Raw genomic sequence first — 15,084 nt, forward strand, 5'->3', positions numbered from 1 at the left:
AAAAAAAATGATTTGAGGTACTTAAAGAAAACTGTGGTTTTTAAAAAAGATGATCATTACAGACAATGGGGTAGATTGCAAAGCAGACTGAAATGGATCTTCAGAGAACTGCTACCATGGATCCGTCATCATTTCAAGAAGACATCTCCCAAACAGGTAGGGCTCTCTTAAACTAAGCCTTCGCTCCTGGTCTTGCTTTGTATAAGAGATGTTTCTTTTAATTTAATTTAATTTTTAGACAGGGTCTCACTCTGTCACACAAGCTGCAGTGCAGTGGGGTGATCCTGGCTCTCTGCAGCCTCGACCTCCTGGGTTCAAGTGATCCTCCCACTTTAGTCTCCCAAGTAGCTGGGACTATAGGCACACATCACCATGTCTGGCTAATTTTTTTTTTTTTGAAGAGTCTAGCTCTGTCACCAGGCTGGAGTGCAATGGTGTGATCTTGGCTCACTGCAACCTTCGCTTCCTGGGTTCAAGTGATTCTCCTGCCTTAGCCTCCCGAGTAGCTGGGATTACAGGCACGTGCCGCCACGCCCAGCTAATTTATATATTTTTAGCAGAGATGGGCTTTCACCATGTTGGCCAGGATGGTCTCTATCTCCTGACCTCGTGATCTGCCCACCTCGGCCTCCCAAAGTGCTTGGATTGCAGGCGTGAGCCACCGTGCCCGGCCTCCTGGCTTATTTTTTAATTTTTTTGTAGAGACGAGTTCTCACTATATTGCCCGGGATATAAGCCACGTTTCTAAAGCGCACTCAGATGTGCCTGCCTCTGAAGTCTAGCCACCCACAGGAGGGAGGACAAGTCATGAATGTGGTCATTTGAAGGCCCCAAAGGGCTGTCTCCTTTAGTTCCCTTTCCTTACCCAGCAGATGGTACAGAGTAGCTCCAGGTATGTTTGGGTAGATGGTGCCTCTTAAGTCCTGGGTTTTCCGTGACAGTTGTTCCCTCAAATACCCTCTGCCATACTTAAACCTTGCATCAGCTCAGCTATCAGACACGGACTTGTGTTGTGGAAACAATGGTCTCTGTGGCCCAATCAGACATCGGGCTTGCCACAGGTTAACTTCATTCTTGGCTATGATCAATGTGGAGAAATTGTCCTGGGTGATTTAGGAATGTTTGGTAAAAAAAAAAAAAAAAAAGGCCAGTCCACGATAGACATTTTATCTGAAAGATATAATAATTATGCCATTTTTCAGCTCCTCCTTAAAAAAGGGGGTCGAGTCACTATCCCTTAGCAGTTCATTGTTTCCAATTTGGCTTAATTGAAACTGAGAAAGTTCTTAAAGTTTGAACAGCAGTAATTAAATCTGAATTGGATGGGATATTTGTAATTTTGAATGCTTAAATTTTGAGAGGAAAAAACTGTGTAATGTTGTTGGCCAAATGACCCCAGTCATTAAGATTCCTATGGCATTATTTAGTTAGTTGGCTTTTTATAACGCCACGAGGTTTGCTGTGGGCTGCCATGGACGCCATTGGCCTCACAAGGAGAAGAAGCATTTTAGAGAAGAGCCTCTGAGAGAGAGAAGCAGCCCCTTAAGAGTCTGCTAATAATTGGCATTAGCATTTCTGGACTTCTCGGGATGCAGGAACTGAGATGAGTTGAGGAAAATGAACAGAAGTGACAGTTTTTGTGAGGCCAATGGAAACCATGTTTGGATCCAGGAAAAAAAAAATGAGACAGGAAAGGGAGGGTCACATTTTTGGAGGAAATCATGTGGTATTTTGGTAATCCTTTGTTGATGAAAAAAATTACCAGCACATTAATTATGTCCTAAGAATGGGACACTGCAGGTCTGCATCTTTGTTCTTTCCCAGGCTGGGACAGCAGCCCCGGCATTTACCACTCTGGGGATTAGAAACCTGGGTTCCTGGACACATACCATGAGTACCTCGCTACAGTGTTGAAATCTAACCCAGCCAGGAGTTCAGGAGATAGGAGGCTTTTTTTCAAGACAAGTAATGACAACTGAATAGTTTAAAATCTTTATAAGACTGGTAGTATTCTGCCAGTGCAAAGTAATAAAACTAAATATGACATGAAAGTCCTTTTCTTTTCTTTCCTTTTCTTTCTCGCTCCCTTCCTTCTTCTCTTCCCTTCCTTCCCCCTCCCTTCTCTTTTCTCTTCTTTCTTTTAAAAACTTTTTTTTATCAGTTATATACACTTGTAAACGTTTTTCACAAGAGTTCAAACATTTACATTTAGACATATACAGCATAAACCAACATTGACCCTTATTCTTCTAGATTCTTTAGGTAGGATTGAGTACATCGTTGCCACTCATAAGCAAAAAGCACGAAGCTGGAGGCATCATGCTATCTGACTTCAAAGTACACTACAGAGCTACAGTAGCCAAAACAGCATGGTACTGGTACAAAAACAGACACATAGACGAATGGAACAGAATAGAGAGCCCAGAAATAAGACTGCACAACCACAACCATCTGATCTTTGGCAAAGCTGACAAAAACAAGCAAATAGGAAAGGACTCCCTATTCAATAAACAGTGCTGGGATAACTGACTAGCCATATGCAGAAGATTGAAACTGGATCCCTTCCTTAAATCATATGCAAAAATCAACTCAAGATGGATTAAAGACTTAAATGTAAAACTCAAAACCATGAAAACCCTGGAAGACAACCTAGGCAGTACCACTCTGGACATAGGAACAGGCAAAGATTTCATGAGGAAGATGCCAAAAGCAATTGCAACAAAAGCAAAAATTGACAAATGAGATCTAATTGAACTAAAGAGCATCTGCACAACAAAAGAAACTGTCAACAGAGTACACAGACAACCTACAGAATGGGAGAAAATGTTTGCAAACTGTGCATCTGACAAAGATCTAATATCCAGCATCTATAAGGAACTTAAACAAACAAATTTACAAGATAATTACCACTTCCTTTAGAAGAACGTGATATATTAGATGTACATTGCCATTGTGGTAAAAATGGTCACGCATTTTTCTCCCCTTTTTATCTAAGTCCTTGGGTGGTGCCCTCTCACAGACTCTGGTCTGGCCATATGACTTTTTTTCGGCCAATGGGAGGATAGCTAAGGTGACACAAACCCAAACTGGAAAAGTATGTGTGCACCAGGGCTTGCTATCTTGCTGTCCTTTGGAGCCCTGAGGCCACCATGTGAAGAAGCTTGGGGTTGCCTGCTGAGAAATAAGGAACCACTTCAGCTGACACGGAGCCTACTCCAGGCCACCAAAGGGAGGCCATTCTTGTTTATCCATCTCGGTCAAGCCAACTCAGACTCGGAGAATGGCCCAGCTTCCCCAAGAATTGTGAGAAATAATTGATTGTTTTAAGTTACTAAGTGTTGGGATACTTTGTTATTATGGCAAAAGCTGCATAATAAGCCATAACCAAAGTTGTTATTTTTGTCCTTTAAGCTCGATTATTATATTATCATTATTATTTTTTGATATAGAGTCTTGCTCTGTCACTCAGGCTGGAGTGCAGTGGCATGATCTCGGCTCATTGCAACCTCCACCTCCCAGGTTCAAGCGATTCTCCTGCCTCAGCCTCCCGAGTAGCTGGGACTGCAGGTGCGTGCCACCATGCCTGGCTAATTTTTGTATTTTTAGTAGAGATGGGGTTTTGCCATGTTGACCAGGTGGGTCTCGAACTCCTGACCTCAAGTGGTCCGCCTGTCTTGGCCTCCTAAAGTGCTGGGATTACAGGCATGAGCCTCCACGCCCGGCCTAAGCTAGATTATTAGGGACTTCTTTCCTTAAATATAAGGCATTGTTTGGATATGTGATGATTAGCTGTTATGCAATGGCAGTGCTCCCTTTCTGGGTAAGAGCATTGTTCCCTTTCCTTATCCAAACTAGAAAACCTAGAAAATGTGGATAAATTTCTGGACACATGTACCCTTCTGATGCTGAAGCAGGAAGAAATTGATTCCCTGAAAAGACCAACAATGAGCTCCAAAACTGAATCAGTAATAAATAGCCCGTCAACCAAAAAAAGCCAAGGACCTTATGAGTCTTCCTGAGTAGGGAGTATGGTGATTTGCAAAGGTTGTTTCTAGCATGTTGATGACCTTCTTTCACAGGAAGCAGTGTTTCTCATTCTAGCTATCCTGAGCAAATTTCTAAGGATGAGAACTCCACACCCACACAGGGCTTAGCAGGTGTAGTTTTCTGTCCCCTTTTTTTTTCCTACCCCACAGTCACGTTTTCTAAACTCTGAGCCTCCCTCCATCTACATAGAGGGTTTAACCCTCCTTCCATCTGCATTTCCCTCATTACTGCCATCATAATCACATTCCTTAATTGCTTGGTTCAAGGTAGCATCTTTCTTACCATGAGTGCAAGAAAGAAAAGATATTTGGATTGCTTTACCCTTTCAAGCAAAATAGGAATCCTGTCACGGCATGCTTATCATGCTTATTCTTTTCTTTTCTCTTCTTTTTTTTTTTTTTTTTTTAGACAGGATTTACAAGATAATTACCGTTTCCTTTAGAGGTACATAATATATTAGATGTACACTGCTGTGGTGGTAAAAATGGTCACACATTTTTCTCCCCTTTTAATCTACATTCTTGGGTGGTGCCCTCTCACAGACACTCTGGTCTGGCTATAACTTTCTTTGGCCAATGGGTTGATAGCTAAGGTGACACAAGGCCTTTAGAGGTACTGGCTCTGTCACCCAGGCTGGAGTGCAGTGGTACCATCTGAGCTCACTGCAACCTCCATATCCCAGGCTCAAGCGATTCTCCTGCCTCAGCCTCCCGAGTAGCTGGGACTACAGGCGCCCGGCACCATGCCTGGCTAATCTTTTAAACATTTTTTTGTAGAGATGGGGTCTCCCTATATTGCCCAGGTTGGTCTTGAACTCCTGGGCTCAAGCAATCCTGTCTCAGCCTCCCAAACTTCTAGGATCACAGGTGTGAGCCACCGCCCTGCCCACAGTCACTTTCTAAAGTTAGACCTGAATGACCCCTCTCCTTCATAAAGTCGTCTCCAACCACCTCGGATCATGGAGCTGCTTTGCTCTTCTGAATTCTTACAGCCTTAGAGTCTCAGTCGCTCAACGGTTATTGATCACATTCCACGTGCATGCTCATTTATCATACTGTCTTCAGACTTGATTATGTGCTATTTGTGGAAGGGATTATATGTCTTTGTGCCTCCAAAGTGCCTAGCAGAGGGCATTGTTTAAGGTTGGTGCTCAGTAGACATTTGGCACTGCACTGGTTTCCAACCTTTGCTAGCAGCATTTCTCAAAGTGTGGTTTGTGTATTCCTGCATTAGCATGATGAGAAGTGCTTGTTAAACACTGTCTCACCACCTCTCGGCCCCTTCTAAGACCTACTGAGTTTGCCTTTCTGCTAGGAAGGCCCAGGAATCTGCACGGTAAACAAGCTGTGCAGGTCATTTTTAGGTTCATAAAAATGTGAGAATCCTTCTTTTCTGCAGTGGGCAAATTTAATCCATAGGTGGCCTGTTGGACCCCTTACTTCTTTATGCAAAACCTAGGGATCCTAGACTTACTGAAACTTCTAGAACTCAGAATTGTGACTTTCAACTGAGAAGAAGAGGGGTGTGTCTCTAAGAAACAGGGTTTGAAAGGTATCATTTGAGATAATAATATGATTTATACTTGGGAACAGCCCATTGTTATAATGATACAAGCTACAGGCAAGTGGAGAATGACCAAATCTCAGTTGGTGTGATGCATAAAGAATGCTGAATGGTTAGCTTAATGACTTTATAGAGCAGGGGTCCCCAGCCCCTGGGGCACAGACCAGTATCAATTCATGGCCTCTTAGGAACCAAGCCACACAGCAGGAGTTGAGCAACAGGTCAGTGAGCAAAGGTTCGTCTGTATTTACAGCTGTTCCCCATCGCTTTCATTACCGCCTGAGCTCTGCCTCCTGCCAGACTGCAGTGGTATTGGATTGTTATAGCAGCACAAACCCTACTGTGAACTGCACATGCGAGGGATCTAGGTTGCACACTCTTCATGAGAATCTAATGCCCAATGATCTGTCACTGTCTCCCATCACCCCCACATGGGACTCTTTGGCTGCAGGAAAACAAGTTCAGAGCTCCCACTGATTCTACATGATGGTGAGTTGTAGAATTATTTCATTATATATTCCAATGTAATAATTATAGAAATAAAGCACACAATAAATGTAATGTAATGCATAAAATGATTCTACGTGATGGTGAGCTGTAGAATTATTTCATTATGTATTCCAATGTCATAATTATAGAAATAAAGCACACAGTAAATGTAATGCACCACACCCGGCTAATTTTTGTATTGTTTTGTAGAGATGAGGTTTCACCATGTTGCCCAGGCTGGTCTTGAACTCCTGGGCTCAAGCAATCTGCCCACCGTGGCCTCCCAAAGTGCTGGGATTACAGGCTTAACCACTCTTAACCCCGGAATGTCGAATTTTCCACAAATAAAAATATTTATTTTCAGGTAAATCTAAATGAGAAACAAAAGGGAAATTCTTCTAAACTCAAGGATAATGATGAAAGAGTTGTCTCTAAAGAATGGTGGTCATCTGTGAATTCAGAATTCTAACTACGTCCTCAGAAAAGAGTCAGGCTACCCATGCTGCTGGTCTTATATGGCATGATTCATCCACGGAGCTCAGATTCCAGGAACATGTGGTCTTCAGGTGTTTTCTGTAGCTTTTCCCTCAGGATTTGATAGTGATTGGTAGGCAGCATTTTTCCTGTACTGATGTCTTTGACACATAGATGGCCATCTTTCATTCAGTCGGGACAACACATGTATTTTTTCTAGTTTAACTCTGCCTGGCTTGATTGCCTAAGTCCATCTATTCACAATAAATATACAATTGTCCCATGAGACAGCTTAATGCAATAAGCACATACTGAGCCAGGTGCAGGGATTCGGAGACCTGGGGGATAGGGTATTCTAAAGACCTAACAATGAGTCCTGTCTCCAAGGTTCTGACAGTCTAATCAGGTAGACAAAATATAAAGGCACTGGGAAAGGGACTTAATAACAAAACCAGGCTGCAGATTAGGGGCTACAAGCTGGGGCTCACAGGCCAAATCCAGCCCGTGACTTGTTTTTGTAAATAAAGTTTTATTGGAACTCAGCCATGTCCATTCTTTGATGTATTCTCTATGATGCTTCTGTGCTACAAAAGCACAGTTGAGAGTAGTTGCAACAGAGACAGTATGGCCTGCAAAAACGAAAATATTTGCTCTCTCGACCTTTATAGAAAAAGTCTGCTGACTCTTGGAAGTGGATGATTAAATACTAAAGCAAGTGAAAGGACAATAGTAAGTGGACTAACAGTTCAGAAGAGTGCACGTTTCCTGCAATGTTTGTGTGTGTATGTGAGGGGGTAGCTTTTTAGAGGAAGTGAGGAATTAGAGAAAAGTAGAACTTGGACAAAGAGATGAGAGAGATGGAATAATCCAAGGGTATTTGGTAACTTTCCATATCAATATTTTACATAAATAAATAAATAAAAATACTACTGTTAATTTTAAGGTAGATTATTTAACTGAAGCTGTATGTTTAATAATAACATTATATTTCCAAACACTTTCACTCTCTTTCTTGCTTGCCATAGTCTTGTGAGGTAGGCAGGGTAGTAAATTACCCCAGTTTGGCAGATGACCGTCAGAGAGGTTGGTTAAAAGCCTGGCTGTAGGTGGAAAGCCTTGTAGAGCTGCTGAGCCGATCCTGCAACTGCCGCAAGGTTCTGATTTTTATAGGGAGCCCACAGGAGAACTTGGCAATTTGTGACTATGTGCAGCAGATGAAACAATAAGAAATTTGAAACTAAATCCTTTTATTAATTTTTATACCAATTTTTCCATTTCCTGAATCTCTCTGTCCTTCAATAATGCTAGGCTGTGAGAAGCTGAGTCATGCATGGGTTGACTGTGGGTCTGGATATAAGGCTATGTTTAAATCCTGCAAAGCAAAGAGAAGCCCAAAGACATGGATGTGCTTGTCACTCATCCTCTTGAAAGCCTGAGCATCTCAGATCTTTCAAGGACCAGCTCATCTCCCAAAAACAATGTGGCTGATGCCCTTAGGAAATGTGGGGCCGGGCATGGTGGCTCACACTTGTAATCCCAGCACTTTGGGAGGCCAAGGCGGGTGGATCACTTGAGGCCAGGAGTTTAAGACCAGCCTGACCAACATGGGGATATCCTGTCTCCACTAAAAGTACAAAAACTAGCCAGGCGCAGTGGCATATGCCTGTAATCTCAGCTACTCAGGAGGCTGAGGCAGGAGAATGGCTTGAACCGGGGAGGCAGAGGCTGCAGTGACCTGAGATTGCACCACTGCACTCCAGCCTGGGTGACAAAGTGAGACTCTGTTGAAAAAAAAAAAAAAAAAAGACAATTTGGAACCCACACCATCTATTTGGCTATTGCCAACACTTCCTGAAGGCTTTGCCATGGACCAAGCATTCTCATTAATGCTTTATGTGTTTAATCCTCACAATGACTTCAAGAAGTAGGTACTATTATGTACCTATTACACAGATGAGGCAAATGAGTTGCAAGGAGTTCACCCACTTGAGGTTAGACAGCTAATGAATGTCTGAGTCAAGATTCGAATCCAGGTCAGAACTTGCATCCTTATTTACTGCATTCTTCCATACTGCCACTCATTGACAAGCATGGGGATGCATAATTTTGAATCATGCTCAAGAAGTTTGGAACCAAAAGATGCTATGCATAAACTGCACAGGAAACGTCCATGCTCTTTGACATGACGAGGTCAGATTTAGAAAGCTGTGAACATGGACCTCAAAAAATCCTACCAGGTTCTCAGTCTTACAGATTTCTCAGAGGGAACACAGGGAGGGCAGGAGGAATGCAAGGTCCAAGCTGGAATTACCCCAACCCGGATGCAAAACACGCCGGCAGCTGGGAGGAAAAATTGGACTAAGTTAGTATATTTGGGGACAAAGGTGGAAGAGGCTCAAGCGCAGAAAATGTTTCAACAGGACTCCAAGGAGGTCTTGTACGATTATGCTCAAGCCTCTGGGTTCTTAACATACCACACTTTGCCCCACTTCAATCAGCTGCAAGGAACCCCATCCACACTCTGCCTGGGCCCCGCCTGTGGCAATGTGTCTTTGCTGTGGCTTCATTCTGGAGTTGTTGCGGAGGAATCAGATATTGGCAGAATAAAATGGCAAACTTGGTCTATGGAAAATGTAACCAGACACAGAAAGTGGACCGAGCCCACCTTTGTCAGCGTGGCCTGAGTCAATCCCATTAACTTCAAGTCAGTGGACTAGACTCAGAAAATGGCAAATCGCTGGAGTCTTTTCTCCCTACCCCTCCCCACCAAAGCAAGAGCCTAGCTGTGGGGTAGAGTACGTGTTCCATTACGTCTCTTGGGCTACTCTTACGAGCTGGCCCCTCTAAAGAATAAGTTTGGGGAATAAAAATAACTACCTGGGATATCAAAGAAAAAGAAGCCCTGGGTAAGTGAACCAGGCAATTCCCAACAATGACATGGATAGTAGAGTTGAAGGTAGTAATTATATTTTGTACCAAATTGGGGGATAATATAGAAGAGCACAGGACAATTCAGAATGCCTGGAATACATTACGACTGTGGGCCTAATAACAGGTTTATGTAATTTAATGAGCAGAAATATGAACTATAAAACCAGGAGGATAAACTGAGAAACAAGAATACTCCTGGAGGGCTTGGGATGGGCTTTTAAAAGATGTGGCAGATATTCTCCCCAAATTAGGGGCAATATAGAGAGTCGCATTGGACCTAAGTAAATTATTCACTCCTGTGTAGCAGATTTTTAAGGCTTTATCTCAAAGCTGGGTTCAGCTTGAGCCACCTATTATAAAATACAAATGGATATGTGAAAATGGTCAGAAACCCATGCCAGAAATTGGTGTGACATGGAGATTTATGGGGCTTCATACACCAGTGTTATGAACTGCCTGGTCTGTGGCCCTCTAAAAGGAAGAGATTCCGAGTCGGGTTTGGACAAACAGAGACAAATCAAGAAGGAAGCTGGGAACAGTTGCAATGAGATTTTTTAGAATGATGGCTCAAGTATAAAGAACTTGAACCTGGCAGGCATTTGGATAACATTTCTGGATGCTTTAAGGAAGTTATGGCTAGACGAAGCCACCAAGAGAGCAGTCAACTCAGCTCAACCAATGGAAAGAGAGAAGCAAGGAAGGGCCGGATTGGGCAAGAGCACGGGGCAGCATTCACTGGGAGAGAGGCAGGGAGGGGGTCTGCTGCATGGTTACCCTTGTCAGGTTAATTTCCTGTGTGCTCCCTCTGATTTGGGGGAAACTCAAGGAGGATGTTTTCTCCTTCAAACATTTGAAAAGCTATTTTTAGCTGTTTTTAGGAAGGCAGGAACAAGAGCATTCCTCTCTCAAACCGCAAGAAACCTTCATGAATATGGCCAGAAATTGAAAGTAAATTTGTTATTACGTTGCTTAAGTGATTTGAGCCTTTTCAGAGTCACCTGAGGACCCTCCAGACAGGGAAAATCTTGATGAGATAAAAGTGCCATCTGAACAAAGTGCATCAGAATGTTGCATTCCTTAATGTCATTGACAACACAACACGACACAACACAACACACAGCATCCTCCTCATGATTTCCCCGAATGAGATCAGTTTGATAAATTAGCTCCAAACTATAGCCACAGTCCCTTGCCCATTGGAAGAGTTTCTAATAGCTGTTCTGTTCTCTGCCCTGCAAAGATGATAATCTGAGGTTCCTCAGCTGTTGGATGGTTAATGTTTTGTTCTTGTACTTATTGCAAAATTGGGGAAAAGAAAAACTGGCTTTGTAACTGTATTGGCCTTGAGATTTACCTGATAAACAACACTGAGTAATAGGATTGGAAATTCTCTTAAAATTTTTTGCACATTATTTGGTTACAGTTTCCATATGGCAAGAAGGCAAGGGGAGAAACTTCCATTCTGGACCAGCCCCCCTCCCTCCCAGCCACACGTTTAATCCATGTGCTTATGTCAAACTTAATTACAGGACTTTTGGCATAAAATAACAGTCCACATCCTCAGAGAGAAGAACTTAAGCAGTTAATATGTGCGATTGAGTGAAATTGCTTTGCTGAATGTTTATGAGTAACCCAAGACTAGTGAAATGTGCTGATATTTTAACTGTTTCAGTGCTGAACTTGTGCCAAGATGCTGTGAAATAGAAAAAAAATAATAATAATTTCTTCCGATCTGCTGTGTATCATATTTCTTGAAACTGAGAACGTTGGGTAAGACAATTTTATGGCTCTTTCACAAATAGCTTTGTGGAGAAAAAAACAATAAAGCTAGAACAATTATGGAACTTGTCACCAGCTCAGGGAACTGCAGAGATTCAAGAGAAGAATAGCAACTTCAAACTAACATCCTTTTCTGCAGAAAATTCTCTTGAATATTAGAGGTCCCCACCAGGGGCAACAATTTTTGCCTTCGGATTTTCACCTACCCGCTTGAACCTTTTCAGACACTTCTGTTTCCCATTCATCCCCAGTCTAATGTGAATGGTTTTAAAATGTAGAGATTTCCAACCCTAAAACGACTCGATGCTTCCCACTGTCATCTTTGCTGAAATAAATTCCTACCTCTGTTTAAATGTTCTTTTGTCTAAATTGTTCACAGTTAGACCTGCTCCTTTTAGCTCTAGAAGAACCTCTTACAATATAAAATCATCTGCTTATTTTCCTTCCTTTTCTAATGCTCTTTCTTATACTAGTGAGATGTAGAGCTACTTCTGAATTCATAGTTCTTTTCATTACTTTTGTTTCAAAAGACTTCTCTATTATCACCTGCCCCATAAATGCCAGCCTTTTAACACTATAGTTTCTTTTGTTTTCTTTCTTTCTTTCTTTCTTTCTTTCTTTCTTTCTTTCTTTCTTTCTTTCTTTCTTTCTTTCTTTCGAGACAAAGTCTCACTCTGTCATCCACGCTGGAGTGCAGTGGTGTGATCATAGTTCACTGCAGACTTGAACTCCTGGACTCAAGAGATTCTCCTGCCTCAGCATCCAGAGTAGCTAGGACTACAGGAGTGCCTGGCTAAGTTAAAACTTGTTTTGTTGTAGAAATGCAGACTTGCTGTCTTGCCCAGGCTGGTTTTGAACTCCTGGCCTCAAGCAGGTCTCCTACCCCAGCCTCCCGTAGTGCTGGGATTGCAGGTGTGAGCCACTGTACCTGGTCCAGCATTACTGTTTTGGAAGCTTCTCTGTACCTAAATGTTCTACTGAGCCCAAATTCTCTTCTCTCCATTCTCTCCAAACCCACATTGTCCCTCCCCGCAATTCCCCCAATCTGTCCCCAGACTGTTGGGAATGTATTCAGCACTTGTTCCAAGGGCAACAGAATACAAATGTATCATCTCCATCCACAAAACACTCTGTGCACCATCTCAGGATCTCCAGCTAGCTGCCCTCTGGGTTTCAGCAATACCGACCGTCCACTCCGCTTTACACCTCTGCTCCCTTTCAAGTCACCTCCTTGTCCACATCTATGACCCTTGAGAGCATGGCACCCTTTAGTTTTGCTGACTGCCATCTTCCCTTGCTACTTCAAAATGCTTCTGAAAATGCATTTTCTCCCTTATCTGCGACTCCAAACTTCATTCAGCTTATATTTCAGAATTATTTTTAGAACTATTGTTTGGTTCAGCATATTAGAATCCTATCTTTGAGAAAGGTGCAATAAGGTTAGGGTGTTGAAATTGGAGGATATTTGTGAGGGTACCTGGCACATGCCTGGTACATAGAAGACACCTACTAAAGTTCACTTATTTGTTCATTGATACCTTCATTTGTTCAATGCATATTGAATGCCTAATACATAAAACGATTACATGGTAACAATGCCTTGAGTCATGCTAGGTGGTGGGGATTCAGATATGAGAGATTTGCTGAAATAGACTAAGGGCATACTCTGAACTTTTCCTACATTTCAAGCAGAGCTAACCAACAATCTAGAATGTTGGTATTATGAATCTCTTGTATTATTTTTAATGCAGGTTATAAATATGTAGGCCTGAAAGTCATATCTCATGGTATGACCTCACGGTATGACTTTCACTTCTGGGCAGTATCTGGGCAACATGGTGAAACCCCGTCTCTACTAAAATCCAAAAAAATTAGCTGGGTGTGGTGGCGTGTGCCTGTAATCCCAGCTACTCAGGAGGCTGAGTCAGGAGAATCACTTGAACCTGGGAGGCAGAGGTTGCAGCGAGGCAGAGGTTGCAGTGAGCCAAGATTGTGCCACTGCACTCCAGCCTGGGCGACAGAGTGAGACGATGTCTCAAAAAAGGAAAAAAAAAAAAAAGTAACTAGTGAGGGAAATCTTCTTTTGGCATAGAAGTGAAATATTTCAGTAAAGTATCAAGGTTATGCCCAGTATGGTGGAGACGCATGGATTCTTGATATTAATGGATGACAGACATTCTTTGCCTACCTCTAGTAATCCTTCAGGTCTTAGATCAAAGCTGTTTTTTCTTGAGGGGGGCTTTCTCTGACCCACCCAATTGTAAATTAGGTACCCCTGTTGTAGGTTCTCTCCTACTCTGTACTCTTCCTTTGCTGCATTTATTACAATTGGTAGTTGCATATTTATTGTGTGATTATCCATTGAATGTCTGTCTCCCTTAGGACACTGTAAGCTCCATGGAGGCAGGGGCCATATCCATTCTGTTCAATACTCAATACCCAATCTCCAGCACAGCACCTGGCACATGGTAGGCACTCAGTAACACTTGTGGGATGATTATTAATGTCCTGATGCTAACTGCGAAAGTGCAGACAGTCCATAAATTGTTCATTTACTTTGGAATCAGCTGTGTAACTTTTTGAAGCATCTTCCTTTCACTAGTTTTTTTTTTTTTTTTTTTTTTTTTGAGACATAGCTCCACTTTGTCACCCACGTTGGAGTGCAGTGCCACGATCTCGGCTCACTGCAACCTCCACCTCCCGGGTTCAAACGATTCTCATGCCTCAGCCTCCTGAGTAGCTGGGACTACAGTCACATGTCACCAGACCCAGCTAATTTGTTTATTTTGGTAGAGACAGGGTTTCAACATGTAGGCTAGGCTGGTCTCGAACTCCTGACCTCAGGTGATCCGCCTGCCTCGGCCTCTCAAAGTGCTGGGATTACAGGAGTGAGCCACCGTGCCCAGCCCTCACTAGTTACTCTGATGCAGGTTATTGTTGAAATAGTTTGGGTGTTCACTGGCCAGCTGGGAAGAAGCGGACAGAAACAGTTGCTTGCTTTTTGCCCCCAGGACAGCTTTGCTGATGGGGCTGGCAGAAGATATGCTGAGCTAGGAAAGGTCAAATCATCAGAGAGTCTGGGAGGTGGGAAAAGCTGGACAAAGGAAAAGAATGACCTCGGGATCTTCCTGTCTGTACTTCCTGTCTCCCCAGGAAGTGTCAGTCAGAGATTTTCAGGAAAGGGTGTTGTCATGGAAACCTGAATTGGCTCTTCCCCTCCAGGCTGTATGGGGACAAGTGCCCTCATGTGCCCCAGCTGTCCCCAGGCTTGTGGAAGAGGGCAGTCAGTTTGAGTTTTCCGACGCACCGTGGAAAATCCAGAGCCGACAATGTCTGGGACTACAGAACCGGCGACAGCGTGCGGCAGGGATTCAAGTCCAGAATGCGGTGGAACCTGTTATGAACTAATTAAAATTTAATCTGCTAAAGCCATTTTCTCCATCATTTGGGAACCCTCTCTTGACTTCAGCAAGTTCCAAAGAGCCTCTCAAATAGAGGATGCTGTATTTTTGCACTTTTTTTCTCTGTGTATTAGATTTCATCCCCCCAAAAAAGCCCTTTTTAAAAAGGGATTCTAGATAGAGTAGCCATATAATTTATCATCCAAACTGGGACGCTTTTGAGAGTGAAAAGAAGTGCTATTAATAATTACTCTGGGATAATAGATACAAACTGGGCTGTTCCGGGGAAATGCCGAGGTATCTTCAAGGAAACTGTAGGGTCAGGCACCGATCAAATGCATCCACTGGGCTGAAAGCCTCAGGCAGAAGGAGCTCTGTCTGTGTGACTCTTGTGCCTTGG

At 42.9% G+C, this 15,084-nt stretch overlaps 1 protein-coding gene across 1 annotated transcript in view, besides 4 other annotated features; it reads right to left on the reverse strand.

The window, feature by feature from the left end:
* The window catches only part of ZFHX3 (zinc finger homeobox 3), a 1,109,046-nt gene that overhangs the window by 373,454 nt on the left and 720,508 nt on the right, over positions 1–15,084 (reverse strand). The window lies entirely within an intron of this gene.
* Positions 71–571: an enhancer, noted in NCBI's record as "H3K4me1 hESC enhancer chr16:73190308-73190808 (GRCh37/hg19 assembly coordinates)". NCBI's record gives its function as "activates a minimal SCP1, AML or CMV promoter by ChIP-STARR-seq in primed H9 embryonic stem cells {active_cell/tissue: H9 hESC(primed)}" and the evidence as "EXISTENCE:reporter gene assay evidence [ECO:0000049][PMID:30033119]".
* Positions 572–1,072: an enhancer, noted in NCBI's record as "H3K4me1 hESC enhancer chr16:73190809-73191309 (GRCh37/hg19 assembly coordinates)". NCBI's record gives its function as "activates a minimal SCP1, AML or CMV promoter by ChIP-STARR-seq in primed H9 embryonic stem cells {active_cell/tissue: H9 hESC(primed)}" and the evidence as "EXISTENCE:reporter gene assay evidence [ECO:0000049][PMID:30033119]".
* Positions 14,058–14,559: an enhancer, noted in NCBI's record as "H3K4me1 hESC enhancer chr16:73204295-73204796 (GRCh37/hg19 assembly coordinates)". NCBI's record gives its function as "activates a minimal SCP1, AML or CMV promoter by ChIP-STARR-seq in primed H9 embryonic stem cells {active_cell/tissue: H9 hESC(primed)}" and the evidence as "EXISTENCE:reporter gene assay evidence [ECO:0000049][PMID:30033119]".
* Positions 14,560–15,059: an enhancer, noted in NCBI's record as "H3K4me1 hESC enhancer chr16:73204797-73205296 (GRCh37/hg19 assembly coordinates)". NCBI's record gives its function as "activates a minimal SCP1, AML or CMV promoter by ChIP-STARR-seq in primed H9 embryonic stem cells {active_cell/tissue: H9 hESC(primed)}" and the evidence as "EXISTENCE:reporter gene assay evidence [ECO:0000049][PMID:30033119]".

Source organism: Homo sapiens, chromosome 16, assembly GCF_000001405.40.
Source record: "Homo sapiens chromosome 16, GRCh38.p14 Primary Assembly".
NCBI lineage: Eukaryota > Metazoa > Chordata > Mammalia > Primates > Hominidae > Homo > Homo sapiens.